Here is a 20,733-nt window from a genome sequence, read left to right as displayed (position 1 = left end):
CTCAGATATTATGTAACTTGCTCAAGGTCATATTCCCTGTCATGCATCTAAGAAATGATGTGTTCAGGATTTGAACTTCAATCTAACTAATCTAACTACTAAATTTATGTTATCTCTTCATCACACTGTTTCTGCAATCTGTCTGAAATAAAGTAAGTCGTTCACAAATGAGACTCCGACATTTTTTCAAAGGGTTAGTGCTATAGATACTTTCTGGAACACAGAGTTAACATTTTCTATGCCACCTGTTTTTTTTTTTTTTTTCCTGCCTTGATAATGTGTTTTGAGTGACTCTGTCAAGGATATCCCCAGATTGTGATGATCAGCTGCCCTTCTAGGTACTGGGGCAAGGTGTAGTCAGTGGAAGTCAGCTGGCTCCACCCTATCCTCACAGTGGAATTCCCCGCTCACCACTGTACTTGCCATCTGACTCGGGACCATTATCATAGTCCAAAGGCTTCCATCTGCTTTGCATGAGGAAAAGAGAGATTTCAAGTTTATGTGTTTAGGACTCACCATTTGCCAGTCTGTTTCTGCATGGTTTACTCCCAGAAACTCAAAGAAAGAAGCAAATCCTTCATTTAGCCACAAGTCTTCCCACCAGTCCATGGTCACAATATTTCCAAACCACTGAAATTATAAGCAATAAAGAGATAATTACATTCTTATGGGTATGGTAGAGAGGCCTAGAAAATGTCAAAACATTTATTTGTCCGTGCCAATGTTGTCACTGTGACAGAAGTGGCAGGCATTGTACTTAACATTTATTTCCTGCTTTATTCTGATTATTTAAATGATATTAAATTGTCTTTAGTTTATTGCCTTTATTTAGTTATTACTGGGGTACATAAATTTATATGAAGGCCTCGTGCATATTTCCTAAAGGCAAAACAATGTGGTTCAAAGTCTCTTTATGGCTAAATGTTTATTAGTACCAAGAAAGATTTTCATGCAAGTTTTTCTGAGTTGGCTATTTTTTATTTGCTAAGTCATAAATAATTTGAATTATTCCTGTGGTCTTAAGCCACTTTAAAAAAACAAGCTGATTCAGTGCTAAGATTCTGTACCTGATGCACAAGTTCATGGGCAACCACAGTGGCCACCCTCTGTTGGTTTGATGAGGCTGATTCCTTAGGGTCATAAAGCAGGTTCGTTTCTCTGTACGTGATGAGTCCCCAGTTCTCCATGGCACCAGTGCCAAAATCTGGAATAGCGATTTTATCTATAGAAGAAGAAAGAGTCCAGTGAGAAATACATTCTTTCCATTTGTTCATAGCTTTTCTTACCAAATTAAGTTATTTGGATGAATGTTTTTTAAAAGCCTAAAAATAATTTCTTAGAGTAAAGAACTGTAATCATGTGTGCGAACATTTCAGTCCTAATGCACTCAAAGTTTCCATAGAGCATTCCCTGCTGGCTCCAGATATCAATGCTTTGTTTTTGTTTTAAAGAAGGACACTAATGGCAATGCCTCTATAATTTTATGTCTTTTGTTTCTCTCTGTATTTCATTTTTATTAGCTACATGTGTTTTAGGGGATAAGCCGTGAGGAAAAAGAGAAGTTTTCAAATTAGTATTTAGAAGTTCTGAGCTTCCAAGTGTATAGATACAGTTTTCCATCCAAAGACACAGATTATTCAAGAATATAAAACTCCATTTTTCTCTAATTCTATAAAATATTGATAGAAATACCAATCTAATAGCTTATCATCCGCTTTTATGTATTAAATTGGTTGGAGAAACATGGAGTTGACTATATTCTCTCTAGATTCCCTTACAGTTCTAAAATGTTGGACAGGAGTTTCTATAGTCTTACACATAATATCTGACAGGAGGAGGCAGTGTTGATCAGTTCTATGTTAAATCCCAAGACAGAAAATGCTCAGATGATTAGTGGCCAAAATACAGCTTCCCCAGTTAATGAACTGTAAACAGAATGTAATTTCTTTATTATTATGTATAATTTAAATGAGGCACAGAAATGAAAACAAATTGATTTTTCACTTAACATATAAGAGAAGGCCCTTTCTTTCTGGTTAAAATAAATATTCTTTCTTTTTTTTTGAGACAGAGTCTCGCTCTGTTGCCCAAACTGGAGGGCAGTGGTGCGATCTCGGCTCACTGCAAGCTCTGCCTCCTGGGTTCACGCCATTCTCCAGCCTCGGCCTCCTGAGTAGCTGGGACTACAGGCGCCCGCCACCGCGCCTGGCTAATTTTTTGAATTTTTAGTAGAGACGGGGATTCACCGTGTTAGCCAGGATGGTCTCCATCTCCTGACCTCGTGATCCACCCGCCTCGGCCTCCCAAAGTGCTGGGATTACAGGCGTGAGCCACCGCACCCAGCCAAAATAAATATTCTTAGAGCTTTTTATAAAAGAATGAAGAGGGATGTATCTTAAGTAGAGGTCAAGATTACAATAGTAGTTTCCTTTTCATGTTATCTCATTTTTAGGTTTGGTTATTTTATCACAAGACAGTCATTTCAAAAGTAGAGAAGTATCTCCCCCAAGGGCCAATATTTTTCATAATGTTGTGGAGTGCAGTTTGCACTTAATCCTTGAACAAAAGGAATTTTTTGCAATCTCATTTTTTTTTTTTTTTTTTTGGTCAGTACTGGCATTGTAACTAACTAATTCTTGTATATTTAACTCTTTGGAGTCTAATAAATGCAGAAGTCACCTCTAAGGAGTCTAAGATATAATTAATTCTGAGAGGGTTGAAAATGCACATAAAACAGAATAAAGGAGTTGGGGAGAGGGAGAAAGAAAGAGAGGAGAAGAGAGTAATAAATTTGTGAGATTTCCACTTCTCAGGTTATCCTGGGTGCTACAACTGAGATAAAAGGCAAAGGATCTTTAAATTCATGTGTACAATATTTTATTAAATATTATTCTGATATTTTTAAATTGAGATGAGGTCTTCTGTCACCTAGACTGCAGTGACACAATCATGGCTCACTGCAGCCTCAACCTCCTGGGCTCAAGTGATCCTCCCACCTCAGCCTCCTGAGTAGCTGAGACTACAGGTGTGTGCCACAACACCTGGCTAATTTTTGTATTTCTTGTAGCGATGGGGTTTCACCATGTTGCCAGGCTGGTCTTGAACCTCTGGGCTCAAGCGATCCGCCCGCCTGGGCCTCCCAAAATGTTGGGATTACAGGCGTGAGCCACTGCACCTGGCCCAATATTCTGATTTTGATGAAAACTTGTTTCTTTTTCCAGCTCCTTCTCTAACATTTGTTAAGCAATCAAAAAATAGAATTGTATCCATTGAAGAGACATGCAGCATCTACAAGCTTGCTCTGAGCCACAGCCATTCCCATGCAGAGAATTTTGCATTCCCCTTGTGTGCATTGATAAGTTATTAAAGTAAAGGCAGAAACAGATACAGGGAGGCCAACTGTTGGCTAATTTGTTTTCTTACTGCCTTCATTTCATCCCTACAAACATCTATATGGGTGTTATATTTAAAGTCTTTGTTAATAGCTCTCGAGCTTATTAATAAAGCATTTCCACTATTGATAGAAATGTCATATGCACACCATTTTGGTTGTAGCCCCACTTTTGCTTTATGAAGAATGCATGTCTCCCTCTGTATTAGAAAAAATTATTGCTGGAAGGAGCACCAGTATTTCATTAAACTGCTGGGGAATCTAGAATTTGCCTTGTACAACAATGGAAAGACTGGAAGCACATGGGGCTCTTACAACATCATTTATCCCTATTATTTTTTAACTCGCTGATGACAGGGAGGCAGAGCAAGTATTGGGATGAATGCCGATTTTGAAATCAACTGATCTACGTTGCTATTTGTGGCTCCATCACTACCAAGCTCTGCCATTTTGTGCACATACTTTCATCTTTATTTGGAAACACAAGATTATATATTCATCAGATAAGAACACAGTACAGGCTGGGCATGGTTGATTAGGCCTGTAATCCTAGCATTTTGGGAGGCCGAGGCAGGAGGCTTACTTGAGCCCAAGATATTGTCGGCATAGAATAAAAGGACTTAAGGATAACTGTTAACTGATGGTGACATAATTAGAAGAAATGAGTTAACTTAGATAAAAACAAAGGCAATATTAAAAATAAGAAAATTAAAAAATGATCCTCACCTAATTTAGGAAGAGAATAATTCATAGCAAAGTATTCTTCAAAATAATCAAACACACTTTTAGTTATGTTTGCAGCATATTCGGCTGTGTGCTTTTGCTCTGGCTGGACATAAATTGTAAGCTATTAAACAAAACACAAAAAATTCAGTGAAAATTATTCTTCATTCAACAAAATACAAAAACTGTGATGCATAACATACTTGAAAGAAAGTGGGCTTTGGAGCCAGATATGTCTAATTTGAATTCCAATTCTGCCTCATACTAGCGTGTTGTCTCATAAATCACTTCACATCTCTGAGACTCTGGAGGAATTTTATGTAAAATGTTAATAAAACTTCACAACTCACTAAGTGATTTTAATGACTAGAAATAATGTAAGACACAATGGTTGGCATGATGTCCCAGACATTTGAAAAATGTTATTAATTTTTTCTACTTAGAACATATATTATCTTCTTAAAATCTATGAATTTATCTATTCATCCATCCATATACCCACCTATCAATTTCTCTCTTGCGCGCTCTTTCTCTTTCTCTTTCTCTGTCTCTGTCTCTTTCTCTCTGTGTCATTTGTCCTAGAGGAATTGAATTAATGGGATTTTTCTCATGCAAAGAGCCCCTGAATACGTGTTATCTACTTGTGCTTTTCTATCTAGTTATTTCGAAATAACCCTTTTGATATTCCAACTATTCAGCTCCAGAACCTAAAATATAATGATCCAAACTTTCCCTGAGAGAAAGTCATCTTGGTAAGCTACATCAATTCTCTAAGTCACTACTTTGTGTCCTTATGACATAATTTATAAATCAAACCAAGTACAGATTTTTGTCCCCAATTCTAAGCATGTCTGACTTTATAAAAAATTTTCAAGAATCCTCTTCAACATAGTGTCGTGAAAGTAGATGTGGTCTCTGGAAAAGAATATTACAGGTGTTTAGGCATTTCTCAATATCTGAAAGAGGAAGCAGTACCTCAGACAACTAGTGTCTGCTAAAAGTTTGTGAGAAATTCAAATAAAATATACCTGCTAAGCCTACAACCTGATTCAAAACCCTCAAGGAAAGCAAAAGATGTAATCATTTAGTAAGTTCAAGACCATTTACCTAATTAGAACAGCTGACTCAGGATTTAAACAAGAAAAAAAGAAAATATTGCCCACTCTCTTTATTATTCCCAATGCGTTGCTAGTTTTGGTATTCACTTAGGCACACATCTTGAACCACCTTTTCCTAGAAGCAAAGAACACTGGAATGATTCACGAATATAAAGAACACATTCTGAAAGAGCATCCCTTAAATTACCAGTGCTGGCTCACTATTCTCACATCCACTAGGTAACTGGCATTCTTGCTTTATTTGCATAAATAAAGATGTGTTCGTCTTCACCTCCGAAGACGGCACAACTCACTCAATCATCTCAATACTCTTAGAAGTTTTTTTTTTTTCTTACAGAAGTGATGATACATTTTCTCTAATAGTTGTTAAGCAATCAAAAAGTGAAACTGTTTGGATTACCCTCCTGTCCTCTTTGTGAACAATGACAGGTATTTTTCCAAGAAGTTGAGTGAAACTAAGGCTCCAGTTTTTGGCCATTGAACAGAGTAAAGGGAATTAACCGTCTAAAATAAAAGTCATCACGTTCGTACAGGATTGCCATGTCATAAACCAAGAGTCTCAGAATTTTTCTTCTGTGAACTAATTGGTGTGTCAAAACTCTCAGATTTTCTATCACATCTGTTCTCTGCATTAAAAACTTCAGGAAGGGCAGTCCTCTTGACCCGCTCCACTGTTGTCTACATATTCAGTGCTTTGGTGCTGCACACAACATTTGGTGAGCGAAAGAGAATTGTAAAAGAAGTTGAAAGATCATGGTGAGGTCTCCCACCGTAGGTGGAGCAATGGGAAGGAGACAGACTCAATGTGTTCTTTCCACTAATATTTTCTCATTTCCCATGTCAGTAAATGAACTCCCTTTAAGCAGTATGCTTCTGAGACAATGTAATTCATTTTTCTTTTTTTGTATTTCTGTTGGTGACAGTGGAAGGCAGTGTTTAAAGAAGATTGATGTTAATGTAAATTCAATCAAAATAAAAGCAGTCCCTTCCTCTTTTGTTTCTGAGAAACTCAAGTCCATAGAAATATGCTCTGTCTTTGCAGCCTGGTCAGTCTGCAGATCATCTGTGATCTATGACCCTTCATAATCAGGGTCAGCTCTTCACCAAGCAGGGACCTCAGCTCAGGCCAGCAGTGCAGTGGCCCCATCCCCTGGCTGAACATTCCCAGTAGCAGCAGCTCTGCATTTCTCTAAGGTGGATCTCCCAGAGGCAACTGAAAGCCCCTCTGCCATGGCTGCTGCAATGGTACTGCCCTTGCTGCCCTTGGACTAGGTATGGATCAAAGACCCTGAGTGCTTTAATCATATCTCCAGTAAGCTGCAGCCACCCTAAGGAAAAGAAGCCAGTTTGTCCCAGCCACAACCCCCTGTTACCCCTGCTCATCACCAGGCAGGCCCTTGGCTTGGGCCCACAATACAACCACCTGACCCCGGGCTGATTGCACCAATTGGTAGTGGCTCTGCATTTCTCTGGGGTGGAGTTCCAAAAGACCGGTGAAAAGCCCTCTGCTACAGCAACTGCCAAGGTCCCTTCCCCTGCTGCCTCCAGGCTGCAGAAGGAGCATAAAGCCTGAGCTTGCTCCAAGGCTGTGGTGAGCAGCCCAGGAGTGCCAAGCTGAGATCTGCAGCCAGTACTTGAGTTGGAGAGGAGCAGGCAGTTTCAGAGCACTGAGAGAGAGCACAGCTGCAATTAGGAGGAAACACAGAGGAGCCTTGTGGCTGAGCAAGAGCCTAACTACTGGCCATTATGCTTAAGCACCATCTACTGGATCATAGCCCAAACTTCAGCACCAAAAATACTTTGCTAACATAACGCCCCTGAGAAACAAAGGACATGAATTCAGCGCAAATAATGACCCAGCACAAACACTTCGTCCTCTGAAAACATCCAGGAAAGAAATCAACTGACTGTACTCAAATTACAGCACAGTTGAGGGAACATCAGCCACCACAGTTGAGGGAAAGTCAGCCCACACAGATGAGAAAGAACTAGTGCAGGATCTCTGGCAGCTCAAAAAGCCAGACTGCCTTGGTTCCTCCAAAGAACCACACTAGTTCCACAGCAAGGGTTCTTAACCAGACTGAAACGACTGAAATGATAGCAATAGAATTCAGAATATGGATAGGAAGGAAGATCATTGAGATTCCATTGAGAACCATTGAGAAAGTTGAAACCAATCCAAGGAAACTAAGGATTACAATATAACAGTACAGGAACTGAAAGACAAAATAACCGTTATAAGAAAGAACCAAAATGACCTGACAGAGCTAAAAAAAACACACTACAGGAATTTCATAATGAAATCACAATTATTAACAGCAGAATAGGCCAAGCTGAAGAAAGAATCTCAGAGCTCAAAAACTGGCTCCCCAAACTAACTCAGTCCGACAAAAATAAAGAAAACATCCAGTTCATGTCCTTTGTAGGGACATGGATGAAGCTGGAAACCATCATTCTCAGCAAACTGTCACAAGGACAAAAAACCAAACACTGCATATTCTCACTCATAGGTGGGAATTGAACAATGAGAACACTTGGACACAGGAAGGAGAACATCACACACCAGGGCCTGTCGTGGGGTGGGGGGAGCGGGGAGGGATAGCATTAGGAGATATACCTAATGTAAATGACGAGTTAATGGGTGCAGCACACCAACATGGCACATGTATACATATGTAACAAACCTGCACGTTGTGTACATGCACCCTAGAACTTAAAGTATAATAATTAAAAAAAAAGAAAACATCGAATAAGAAGAATCAATATTGTTAAAATGGCCATACTGCCCAAAGCAATTCACAGATTCAGTGGTGTTCCTATCAAACAACCAGTGATAGTTTTGACAGAATTAGAAAAAAACTATTTTAAAATTTATATGGCACCAAAAATATAATTGCCAAGGTAATTTTAAGCAAAAAGAAAAAGCTGGAGGAATCACATTACCTGACTTTAAACTATACTACAAGCCTATAGTAACCAAAACAGCATGGTACTAAGACAAAAATAGACACACAGACCAATGACACAGAATAGAGAGCCCAGAAATAATGCCATACACCTGCAACCATCTGATCTTCAACAAAGTTGACAGAAAGAAGCAATAGGGATAAGACTCTCTATTCAATAAATGATGCTGGGATAACTGACTAGCCGTATGCAGAAGATTGAAACTGGACCCCTTCCTTACACCATATACAAAAGTCAACTCAAGACAGGTTAAAAAGTGTAAAACCTAAAACTATAAAAACCCTGGAAGATAACCTAGGAAATACCATTCCAGACATAGGACCTGGCAAAGATTTCATGACAAAGATGCCAAAAGAAACTGCAACAAAACCATAAGTAGGCAAATGGACTTAAACTAAAGAGCTTCTGCACAGCAAAAGGAACTATCAATAGAGTAAACAGACAACATACAGAATGAGAGAAAATATTTGCAAACTATGCATCCAACTAAGGTAAAATATCCAGAATCTGTAAAGAACTTAAATCAGCAAGCAAAAACAAACAACCCTATTAAACAATGGGCAAAGGATGTGAACAGACACTTTTCAAAAGACACTTTTCACATATGGCCCACAAGCATATGAAAAAATGCTCAACATGACTAATCATTAGAGAACTGCAAATCAAAACCACAATGAGATACTATCTCACCCAGTCAGAATGGCTATTATTAAAAGGTCAAAAAATAACATGCTGGCAAACTTGTAGAGAAAAAGGAACACTTATACACTGTTGGTGGGAATGCAAATTAGTTTATCCATTGTGGAAAGCAGTTTGGCAATTTCTCAAAGAACTAAAGCAGAATTACCAAATGATCCAGCCATCTTATTACAGGATATATATACCCAAGGAAATATAAACTGTTCTGCCGTAAAGACACAGGCCTCCATACGTTCATCACAGCACTATTCACAGTAGCAAAGACGTGGATGGAATCAACTTATTTTCATCAACAGTAGACTGGATAAATAAAATGTGGTATATATACAGCATGGACTACTTCACAGCCATAAAAAAGAATGAGATCATGTCCTTTGCAGCATCATGGATAAAGCTGGAGTCTTTTATCCTAAGAGAACTAGCATAGCAGCAGAGAACCAAATACCACATCTTCTCACTTATAAGTGGGACCTAAACATTGAGTACTCATGGACCCCAAGAAGGAAGCAATAGACATCAAGGCCTACTTGAAAGTAGAGAGGGAGGAGGGTGAGAATGAGAAAACCACCTATCGGGCACTATGCTTATTACCTGAGAAGTGAAACAATCTGTACACCAAACCCCTATGACATGCAATTTACTATATAGCAAACCCGTACATATACCCCTGAACCTAAAATAAAAGCTTAAAAAAGAAATATTTTACAGAAGTTACCATAAAAAAATCAGGTCATAGATTTTATTCTATAACTGCTACTTTGATCAACAGAGCCAAACAATCAGAGAATATATAGCTACAGCCCATTAATTTTGTAACATATTAAGCCAAAGCATAACTGTGTCTTAACTACCATATATCACAAACATTTTTATATTAAAGACTCTACCAACATGCCAACATTTTCTGTCGTTTAAAGCTCCAACATGGTTTCTGTAATCCGTGTAACAACAGAACATCTGTGATGCTTGGATTTGGTGATTTTGAAAGCATCCTCCCTTGTGCTGATGCCTTCACTCATCCTCACCACACTTTTCCCGCTCTCTGACCCCACCTTTAATGTATGCTCCATCTGCATCTCCTTCTCCTCTCTCTGGGCTTTGGCAGAGGTGACTGACTCTCCCCTATCATCTGCTAAGCCTCAGCACTTCTGTACATGATAAAGTTCAGGCAATTACCCCTGACTCGTCATCATTATTTAATAATTGACATTTTTCTAGTTTATGTGCTTGCTTTACTGAGATGATTTTTTAAGCGTGTGACAACCCATACTGAAATAACATGGAGTGAGGAGGGATGCATACATGTATTTTCTTTCTTCTTTATCTTTTAAAAGAGTCATATATGACTTTTTAAATGTAAGAACCCTATTAACGTTTAAATATAAAGTTCGTATGTCTACTTTATCACTTTATATGTAAACATTATATATAAACATAAATATGAAGTTTATAAGTCTTCAAGAACCTAACTTTCATGCATATATTTACTTTTTGAAGACAGTAACTTCCCTAGGCAAATTAAATTACCTGGTATACTACTGTTGGATACCATTAGTCGTCTTTCAAAGCACTGAATCTATGGAGCTAGTATCAGTGGAAAAACTTTGGGCTTTATACAGCCTTATTCAGCTGATATTCTTTTGGGAGGTAAGACATATCTGCTTTAACATAGCTTTTGCTTTTCCCTTATCATATTGGAGCCTGCTGTAATGTAGGCTCTTAGAGTTCTTAATGTTATCCCTTTCATTCAAGTGTCTCAAACCATTTGAGAGATAGAACTTAAGTCCATGAGAATCGATTCCTGGTTGATTACCATTACTTCCTTTACGTGTCCCTTTGCCACACTTGACTTCACTTGACAATCATGACTAGATGCATTAGATCAATCTTCCTTGAACAATTTAATGAGGCTGTGCACCATCTTTATCTTCAATGATTATTTATGTCCCTGCAACCAAAACCAAGCACAAAGCTCAGCGATAGTATTATGATTACTTATTAGTCTTATTATTGAGAACTTAAATTTTTTCAAGGAATGTGATAAGCATTTTCCATGCAACATTTCTTTTACTCCACACGTCAATTCTATGAATCCAGAATTATTAATAATAATAGAAAAAATATTTTGCATCACTGATAATTACCCCAATCCGTTCACTGGTCCAGTTCCCACAACCCCTAATCCACACTAATAAATCCAATGAGTTCTAAAACTTTTTATATGTTTAAGCAAACTAATTTGGCAATATCATATGACCTGAACTGTTAAGAGTTTTTCAAAAATCTTTATTTTTCTCACTATAAAAAATTGCTGCAGAAGTATCACTGATTATAAGACATTGCCCCAAATCCCACTGTAGTTAATCATTAACATATAGTATTCAAACTACATTACCTTTCACAAATCTGAAAATTTCTGAATTCCAACATACAACTGGCCATGAGGGTTTGGGACAAGGATTGTAGACCTCTATTTATAATTTTAGAGTTTGAAGGTGATTTGAAAATAAACTTCCTCATTGTATACATGAGAAAAATGAAGTCTAAGACAGGACCGACGCTAGAGTTCAGGACAAAGTTTGTTTTCACATATCATGCTGCCTATTTTCTCTACTTATAAGACTGAATCTTGACCTCCCCAGCTGTAAAATAGATATAACAACAGCACTTATGTCATAGGGTTATTTCGAGTATTAAATAACACATAAGCAATGTTTGACATGTAATAGTTCTATGTGTCCCATCAAAAGTGTTAGTATCATTAGAGATAATACACTGAATTATTAACCTCTGTAATTTTCTGTGTGCGTACTTCCTTATATGTGATTGATACTTACACTATGGTGTCCACATTGCCAGTAAGAACATTGAAAAATGCAGGGGAAAAAAATAAATGTTATGGTTTTGACTTTCAAAATAGGCTCTTGATGCCCACACAACACATTTAAAAGCCCAAACTTTTTGGATTGTAAGGGCCTGGTTTCAAAAGACTTTTAGCAATAAAAACAGAAGGCCAGGAAAAAAGCAAACCACAGGGTTTTTAACTCTAATAATAATTGAAAAGAGAATAAAGAGATGTCCAGGCTACTCTGTCTCAAAAAACTAGACAAAATTTACCTGGGCCAGGGAAGGTGAGGGAAGGTTGAAGGGACAAGACCTGAAACAGACCCTGAAAGAGTGTGAGGGGACTGAGATGAGAACCTTGAACTTGGAAAGACCATGGAACAGAAAAGAATCAGCTTAAACAGACTGCCCGTTACCACTGCCACCGTCACCTGGGTCAGAAGCCAGGCAGGGCCCTGCATGATTCCACCTGGAAAGTGCCGCAGCCCCGCTGTGCCCTGGATCCACATCCTTATTGTCCTTGTCTATTGAGTGTTTTCTATTGATAGAGGTGACCATACATTCAGGTTTGCCCAGGAATGTCCCTGGAATGTAAATCTGTTGCTTACCTGTTTATACGTCTTGTTCCAGCTTAATTAATAACACCTCCTCTATTATTTATTATATATATATTTATAGATGATAAATTATATGGTCACTCTACTTATTGACAGCAGCCTGACTTTTCACTGCTGATCATCCCGCAGAAGTAGCACCATTTACCTCTTGAGGTTTTTTTTGCAAGGTCTCATCTGAGCTGTTCCAAAGAGCCACATCATTTTAAATGACGAGCATGCTTAAAGGATCCCCCAAAAACAAGCTGAGATCCTTGGCACTCAGGGCTAGTAACACCAAGAAAGACCTGAAAACACACTTGGGTGGCACAGGGCAGTGGTGACTGTATCTGGTGCACATCTTAATTGAAGTACAGATATCAGCATATTTCACTCTCTTCAGGGTTTAGCATCCTCCAGTGCACATAGTAGATGCTCAATAAAAATGTACACAATAATCAGTTTGAAGAAACTGTTTCATTATCAATACTGAGGTAGCCAGGATGAGAAAGAGAAAATAAATCTATATTGTTTTTAAATATATAAATGCATATTTAAGGTACATAGCTGGTATTACTGAACATGCCATTAATGTGTTAAATTTTATAAAGTTTATGTTCTTTTAAATATTCTTCCAGTAGTAGGTGGAAAGTTAGCAGAGGAGGGTACTTAGTTGAAAGGAATAGTGATACATCAGTTTTTTTCTTTTTAAGTTCTGCCTTATCAATGTGATATATTCTTTCTAAATTTTAGTTTGCTCCTTCCTCATAGATAAATTAGTATGAATATGCAAAACCTTGGTTTGAAGTTTAGGTGAAAAAACACCTTTTTTTCCGCTGTAGCTATGCTGGTTCAAAACATGTTCGGACTCTGAGTCGGAACTCACCTGCTATGAATTGCTGTTTAAGAAGAAACTCAGCACGGCCATTAGGTTACACAAAGCATTTATTGGCCACTTACTTTCCATTTAAGTTAAAATTTAAGTTGTCTGATGCTTAGTGATTATTACTGCAGTATAATTTTTAAGAAATTAAAAAATGAACATTAAAAAATCTAAATTACCCCATAAAATCTTACATTATTTTTATTATTTTGTTTATATTTTTGTAAATTTAAATAAAAAATAAGAATCATTAGCAATCCTCCGTGGCTTACTAAATTAAACAGTTTCCTTCAAGGGAGATTAATAACCTTCCATTTAAAGATAACCCTTCCAGTAAAGAAATTAATTAAAAAAAACTAATTAAAATGTTCTAGAAATCAAATTCATTCTGAAAACTTAGCAAAGCCACAGCCAAAATAAGTTTTTAAAATAATGAAATGACCATATGTCAAAAATAATTCTGAGGAAAACAGAAAAATCACCTTTAGAACACCACAATAACAGTTGTTGTGGACATCCACTGGGGAATGCTACAATAAGTGGTCAAAACCTGAAGAACTAACAGGATATTCACATAGCCTTTAATTATCACTCCCTAAATATTTATTAATCACTGTGGTGGTCATAATGTATATCCATAAATTCTTTGTGACTCCTCCCTCCAGGAAGTAGAGCTTAACTCTCTTCCCCTTGGGTGTGGACTGCATTTAGCGATTGCTTCTAAAAAACAGAAGATTGGAATAAAAAACTAGTAAACTGAAGCAGAGAAACCTAGCAGACACCATCTCAACCAAGTGATCAAAGTTAGCATCACCAGGAATAAGTCATGAGGATGTCATGTACCCCCTGATAGGATGTGATGAAAAGGACCCTTCACCTCTGTGGTATTCTCCAAAATCCAAAGCCTCAGTCTAATCTTGAGGAAACATCACACAAACCCAAACTGAGAAACTTTCTACGAAATACCTGAACAGTACTCTTAAAAAGTGTCAGGATCATAAAAAAGAAAAAAACTGAGAAATGTCATATATCAGAATGAATTAAGGAGACAGCATTGCTAAGTATAATGTAGATGTATCATCTATTGGATTTTGGAATAGAAAAGGCACATTAGTGAAAAAACTGGTGAAATCCAAGTAAAGACTGTTGTTTAGTTAATAGTATTGTATTACATTGATTTCTTAGATTTGACGAATGTTTGATAAATGGTTATATAAGATATTAACATTAAGGGAAGGTTACATGGAGACTCTTGTGTCTTTGCAACTCTCTGTAAATCTAAAATTATTTCAAAATAAGAAGTTTAAAAATATATCTCTGAGCATTAAAGCAATGAAACTTAAAAAATAAGATTATTTCTATGAAGAGAAATACATAAATCAAAGTCTATGGCACAAAACCTAAAACTGTTATAAAGATAGGCTGTTTTTAAAAATCCATGGCATATATACATACATACTCTGCCTTCAGCCTATCTTTCTAATCCAGGCAAACAACGGACTAAGATGGAAGCAAGTAAGAAGACACAGACAGTAGGAAGAACCCATTCACAGAGAGAATCCTAGATGCAATTATTCAGCGATCATCCTGTAAGATTTTTGGAAGAAAGTACAACATAATCCCTTCTACTGATATATTAGAATTAATATGGTCATAGTACAAACCTAATTAAATGGATAATATCTTCCACCAGCATTCCCTTAGTGAATAATTCCTCCCAGCTTCCCCCTCTGTTCAGGAAAGCCAAGGAAAACTTGACTAGAGTTGAAATAATCTCCAACAAGGTAATTTCTTGTTTTTGCACATACTTCTTTATAAAATACAGATGCCAAATGCCCCCAAAGAAATTCAAGGGCTCCTGAGATTTTTGTTTCTCAGGAACGAAATCACTCGTGCCATTTATTATTTATTTACTTATTTATTTATGTATACTTTTGAGACCGAGTCTTGCTCTGTCACCCAGGCTGGAGTGCAGTGGCACCATCTCGGCTCACCGCAACCTCTGCCTCCTGGGTTCAAGCGATTCTCCTGCCTGAGCCTCCCGAGTAGCTGGGATTACAGGCACACACCATCACGCCCGGCTGATTTTTGTATTTTTAGTAGAGACAGGGTTTCACCATTTTGGCCAGGCTGTTCTCAAACTCCTGACCTCAAGTAATCTGCACACCTCAGCCTCCCAAAGTGCTGGGATTATAGGCATGAGCCACCGCGCCCGGCCACCATTGCCATTTAACTCGTCCTGAATTTGATTCCTTAAAGAATCATGCAGAGCGAAAGCATTCTGGGAAAGTTACTGTAGGTCAACTGTACCTCAGAAAGCAACACAAACCTAACAACTTCAAATGATTTTATATATACTAATACGGGGGATTTTCCTTTTTCCTACTTTGCGTTTTCCAAATTTTCAATAATGTACATGAATTAAACCTATAATTTTAAAAACTCAAAAATATATTTATAATGTACATTGTTCTTGGTTTGAAAATGAATTGCAATAAATTCCAATGGGGAACTTTGTGCTGAACTCTCATGTTCATGACATGCTTATTGGGGATATTGTTTCCTCTCTGATGACTCCTGCAGGAACAATAGGATTACATTTTTTTTAAACAATAACTCAACAGTTTGTTCACATAACTAAAAAGTCATATAATCTCTCTATACTATGCACAGTTCAGGGTGTGTCCACTTGTTTGTTTTTCTGGGGTGAAATTCAGTGATTTCATTTACTTTAAAACCCTAATCAATCAACTAAACCTGAAGAAGACCTCAGGAGTAGATTTCTTGCAGAATTGTAAAAAATTCCTTCCATCAGTGGCTGGCTTCAATTGTTGCTAAACTATTCTAAGTAACTCTTCATGTTACTCTGTTTAGCATTGAATCAAAATGCAATGCAATTAATTTAAAAAGAAAATATGAAGAGTGAAAAGACTTCTGAGCTACCTCCAAAACCAATTTAATTTTTCTCATGAGCGACAAGGATATTTTAAACATAATGAATGGCTCAACTCTAAAGTCTGCTGTACTCTCTCCAACTAAACTATTAAGAATGCAGGCATTGATTCTGTGTTTATTGATATAAAGGAACTATTGTCAGAGAGGTGAATATACCCAAGCAAGTTGAATCAGGGCATTATAGATTCTTAGATTGCATAGTATAATCTGATTATGAATAGCAGGTGGTTAATGTACCAGAATAATACTGTCAGAAGAAGAATGGATAAGAATAGTCACCTATTAATGGTGTACATAACAAATACATGGCTTCATTTTTTATTTTTGTTTTTTACTAAAAAAGTAATAAAGGACTTTGGGTACAGGTGGTACAGTAAAGGGATGCTTTGATGCACCCCACTAATCCTAATACTCAGAAATTAGTGATAAAATATAAAAATGGGAACAAGACATAAGGATCGGAAGCTATAAGCATATTGAGCTCCAGTTTTGGAAGGAATGGGTCGGAAACAGGTTCCTGGGGATCAGACCCAAGCCATGCTTTGGAAATCACGTTCTAAAACTCTGACTACTATTTCTGATCGTTTTCTCGTCACTTTTTGGTTTTTCTTTTATGACTATCATATTCTTGAATTTTTGAATACATTAATTAAAGGTTGTGTGTGTGCATGTTTAATTTTGTTATGACTTTTTCGGGATTCTCTTTTGTTTCTCCAGTTATCACTATTTACTCCCACGGTGTTTCTATTTGTCTTGGATGTTTTTCTTTTATGTTACTTGTTTTCCTCATATACCTGGTTATTCTTAGCTTGTCTGTTAAGTTCTAAGAATGTAGGACTCTGAGGCTGGTGTGAGTTTCCTCTGATGTTACATTTCAATAGATTTAAGTAGGTTGGTTTTTCTGTAACTCTCTGGAGTGGGAAATCATACCAGGAGCAGTTTGTACTTGGGTGGGTGTCAACTATTAGATTTCAACTTACAGTAAGTGGGTAGGGAGCCAGGAGGGGAACCTCCCAAATGCCAAAGAGGAGGAACTCACTGTGGAGCATTTGCATTCACACTAGATGCCTTAAATTTCTCCCATTAGGTTCTGTTCAACTTTTAAAGGAAACGGCCCCACTGTTTTTTCAGGAGGGGAAACTCTGGCTGCCTGTCTTCTATGGAAGGGTTGGAGGAAGGGGAAAGTGGCATATCTCATTTTCTTGTAATTTTTCTGGCTCAGAGCCTCTGAGAAGTTTCAAAAGGGAATTTGGCTTCTGTTGATCTCTTATAAAATAGATGATTGGACAGTAATGTATTAAAACAATATTATGTTTGTTTCCCTCCCAAATGATGGAATGCATCACTTATTTAAAACAAAATGTTATGCTCTTAGTTTTCATAGAAGAACCATTTAAGAAATAATTACCACCTACAGGACATTTTGGGATCTTTTGCAAAACTGTATTTTTTCATTATATCACTTCAAATCCTTTATATAAAATCCATCCTAAGAACCCAGCTAACTAACTGGTACAGGCTCTAGTGATTTACCTAGTTAGTATAATATTACAAGTAAATGTCCTTGGTCAGAGGACCTGGTGATAGAGTCATATTGGAAATTCAAGCTCACTGTCACTATTAGAAAATAACTCCAAGTACTATGTCCTCTGCTGATTGGTTAAATGCATTGTTCTTACCTATGAGACTTTGTCATCTTTAGTACAATTGCTTAGCCTTTCTGTTTCCTCTTGGTATTTCTACCTCAAATAGAAAAATTTGCTCAGAATGTAATAATAATTTTTAAAACTTGGTATGGGAAACACCTGCACATGATGAAAGACAGTCATGCAATTGAATTGTCAATGATGAAGAAAGCAGCTTCAGATGAAAATTGCATGTTTGTTATGAGACGGAAAGAAAAAACCAAGCTTGACTAATGTTCTCACCTCTATATTAAGCAAGAGGAATGCCATCGACTGCACTCAGCACAATCTAGAAAAAACAACTTCCTATTTCTGATGCCATTTCCTTTTCATACCAGTATTATCTATCAGCCACTAGTAGTTCCCTTTACCACGACTGAAGGTTGCATCAAAGCAACCTATGTGTCAAGGAAAAGTTAGAATACGGATGAGTCCTCATGATATGCAGCCCCTTTGAAAAGGTCTGTGGACATCCCCCACTCGCTATAATTTGTATACGGTATAGGCAGCATGCTGGCAACCCAGGTTGAGGACATCTGAATATCAACTCCTACCACACCAAAGCAAAGGCAAATTTTCCCTTTGTTCATTTCACAGAAATAGAGGAACCCATCCCCTCTCCTCCAGTGACTGATGAAGAGGTAAAGATATTTTCAGAATATCACACATCAGAAGGCTAAGCAAGATACAGTATCTGGAAGGAGTTTGGAATTTAAGTTTCTACCACTTGCCAGCTGGGTAATCTTGAATAAATAGCCTAAATTTATTAAACTTCAATTTTTCTCATCTCTAAAATGGGGGTGATGATTTCCTCCTTATAAAATTATATTGCAAAGATGATGAGGCTTTATATATATGACATATATGGCACAGAGGTGAATTAACTGGCTTACTAGACAACCTAAACATATGTTCAGGATATAAGCAAAATGGGGGCCTCCAAAATGAAAAAATTAATTAGGTAAAAGTATGTGGTTCTTCAAAAGAAAACGATTGGGCCAGGCTCGGTGGCTCATGCCTGTAATCCCAGCACTTCAGGGGGCCAAGGCCAGTGGGTCACCTGAGGTCAGGAGTTAGAGACAAGGCTGGCCAATATGGTGAAACCCCGTCTCTACTAAAAATACAAAAATTAGCCAGGCGTGGTGGCGGGTGCCTGTAGTCCCAGCTACTCAGGAGGCTGAGGCAAGAGAATCACTTGAACCCGGGAGGTGGAGGTTGCAGTGAGCTGAGATCGTGTCACTGCACCCTAGCCTGGGTGACAGAGCCAGACTCCGTCTCAAAAAAAAAAAAAAAAAAAAGAAAGAAAGAAAACTATTGAACTAGTCGTCTTGATATTTTTAAAAAAAGCTTATTTATATTTTATCATACTTTTAAAAAATGCTTTTGGATACTTTGTTGCTACCTATTTTGATTACATATAGGAATGGAGCCATAAACTTTTCAGTGCCTTGTCATTCGAAGGATGTTCCTTTACCTCAGGTTTCCTCCTCTCTCTCTAGTCTATATCTGGGAGAGGTACACATATACCCAAACATTTTATTACATTGGGCATACCCAAACATTTTAATATATTTGTGCTGGTATACTTAGGAGCTAGCTTTTGACTTACAGCACATGTTTCCCTTGAAATAATTTAAGGCCATAAATATCTATGTCTGTTGTGTTGGTTTATTTTTTACCTGTATCCTTTCAGCCTACATTTTTCTATGTATTATCAAGTCCACAGACCCTGGGGACTAAAGGGCTTTTCAGGCATGTTGTTTGAAAAAAAAAAAAAAAAACTACCCAAAAAAGGTAGATAATTAATTACAAATGCATAGGTGGTAAATTTTTAAAATATAATGAGACTCACAGGTTTTCCACTATTTGATATTCTCTTTACAGAGTCAAATTGATGTACAGCAAAGCACACCAGGTACGTGCTCATGGGGACAGACTTCTCAAAAGTTGTTCGAGTCCATTTATCATCCACTGACTCTTCTTTCTATTGAAAAGAAAAGATAAACTTTTATCGATCAAAATATCAATCATATATATGCAAGACAAACAAATAAACGGTTGCCCCAAACCTTGCTTTCTAGCCAGAAGTCCTTTGTCAAAGCTTAGAGGTCAAATTGTTTGTGGTGATGTTGAAAAGACTACAGGAAAATTTACTTTGTTTTTAGAACTGTTAAAGACTGACTGAATTACACACTGTATCAGGTTTTTCAGGGAGAAATAAAATTTTGAGTGGACTATCAGTTAAATAGGAGTTTATCTGTCTACACTAAACACATCATGCTGACCATAATATTTCAGAGTACTGCAATCTCCTAATGAAAAACAGACTCGTGCTCAGATATTTGCTGATTCGACTGGCAGTAGGGCAATTGCTGTACCTGGTGTAGCGGAACATTGGCTTCTCTTTTCCGTCTTTGGTTGTCTACATCAAACACCAAAGGTATGGTCACCAAAGTCAGTGGCTCGGTCTCCATGGACAGAGAGGAGGATTCTATTGCTTGACACAACTACTGACCTATCTGGCTTGTTCTGTCCATGCCAGCTCTGCTGTCCTCACTGTCGATCACCAATCCTAACACTTCAACCACGAATACTTGCCCAACTCCTGCTTCCATTATTAAACATTTCCACATCTCCTGCAGCCACTCTATTTGGGATGGTTTAAAAAGAGATTAAGCGAGGGAGGCTGGATTAGAATGGGTGCGGCTGACACTTCAAGCACGGGTGTGCATGCCCTTGTATAATCGTGGTGGGGCTCCAGGCTACATTACTCTACCATAAAAACCTAGTAGTGTTAGTTTTGATGGCCTAAGAACCCAGAATATTCTCCTTCTTCCAGGACTACTATCTGGATCTAGTAGAAGGTAAAGTGTAA

General features: G+C 37.5%; 1 protein-coding gene across 7 annotated transcripts in view, besides 1 other annotated feature; it reads right to left on the bottom strand.

Annotated features, from left to right (window-relative positions):
* ENPEP (glutamyl aminopeptidase) overlaps positions 1 to 20,733 on the bottom strand; it is an 89,131-nt gene that overhangs the window by 54,411 nt on the left and 13,987 nt on the right. For 4 of the 7 annotated variants that reach the window (NM_001977.4, NM_001379613.1, NM_001379611.1 and 1 more), the window contains exons 3-6: positions 19,711 to 19,842; positions 4,118 to 4,238; positions 1,068 to 1,222; positions 517 to 630 (exon numbers count right to left, since the gene is read on the bottom strand). In NM_001977.4, the coding sequence (NP_001968.3) occupies positions 517 to 630; positions 1,068 to 1,222; positions 4,118 to 4,238; positions 19,711 to 19,842 (522 nt within the window). Of the gene's footprint in view, positions 1 to 516; positions 631 to 1,067; positions 1,223 to 4,117; positions 4,239 to 10,711; positions 10,847 to 19,710; positions 19,843 to 20,733 lie in introns of those variants that run through there. The other 3 variants (NR_166842.1, NR_166844.1, XM_017007877.2) reach the window with 3 other exon arrangements.
* Positions 3,195 to 3,364: an enhancer, noted in NCBI's record as "experimental_72001 CRE fragment used in MPRA reporter constructs". NCBI's record gives its function as "activates a minimal promoter by MPRAs in K562 erythroleukemia cells, with activity observed for both the introgressed and non-introgressed 4:111428752 variant alleles {active_cell/tissue: K562}" and the evidence as "EXISTENCE:reporter gene assay evidence [ECO:0000049][PMID:34662402]".

This window comes from Homo sapiens, chromosome 4, assembly GCF_000001405.40.
Source record: "Homo sapiens chromosome 4, GRCh38.p14 Primary Assembly".
Classification (NCBI taxonomy): Eukaryota; Metazoa; Chordata; class Mammalia; order Primates; family Hominidae; genus Homo; species Homo sapiens.
The sequence above is the reverse complement of the archived record's forward strand: the minus strand, read 5'-3'. Positions and strand labels throughout refer to the sequence as shown.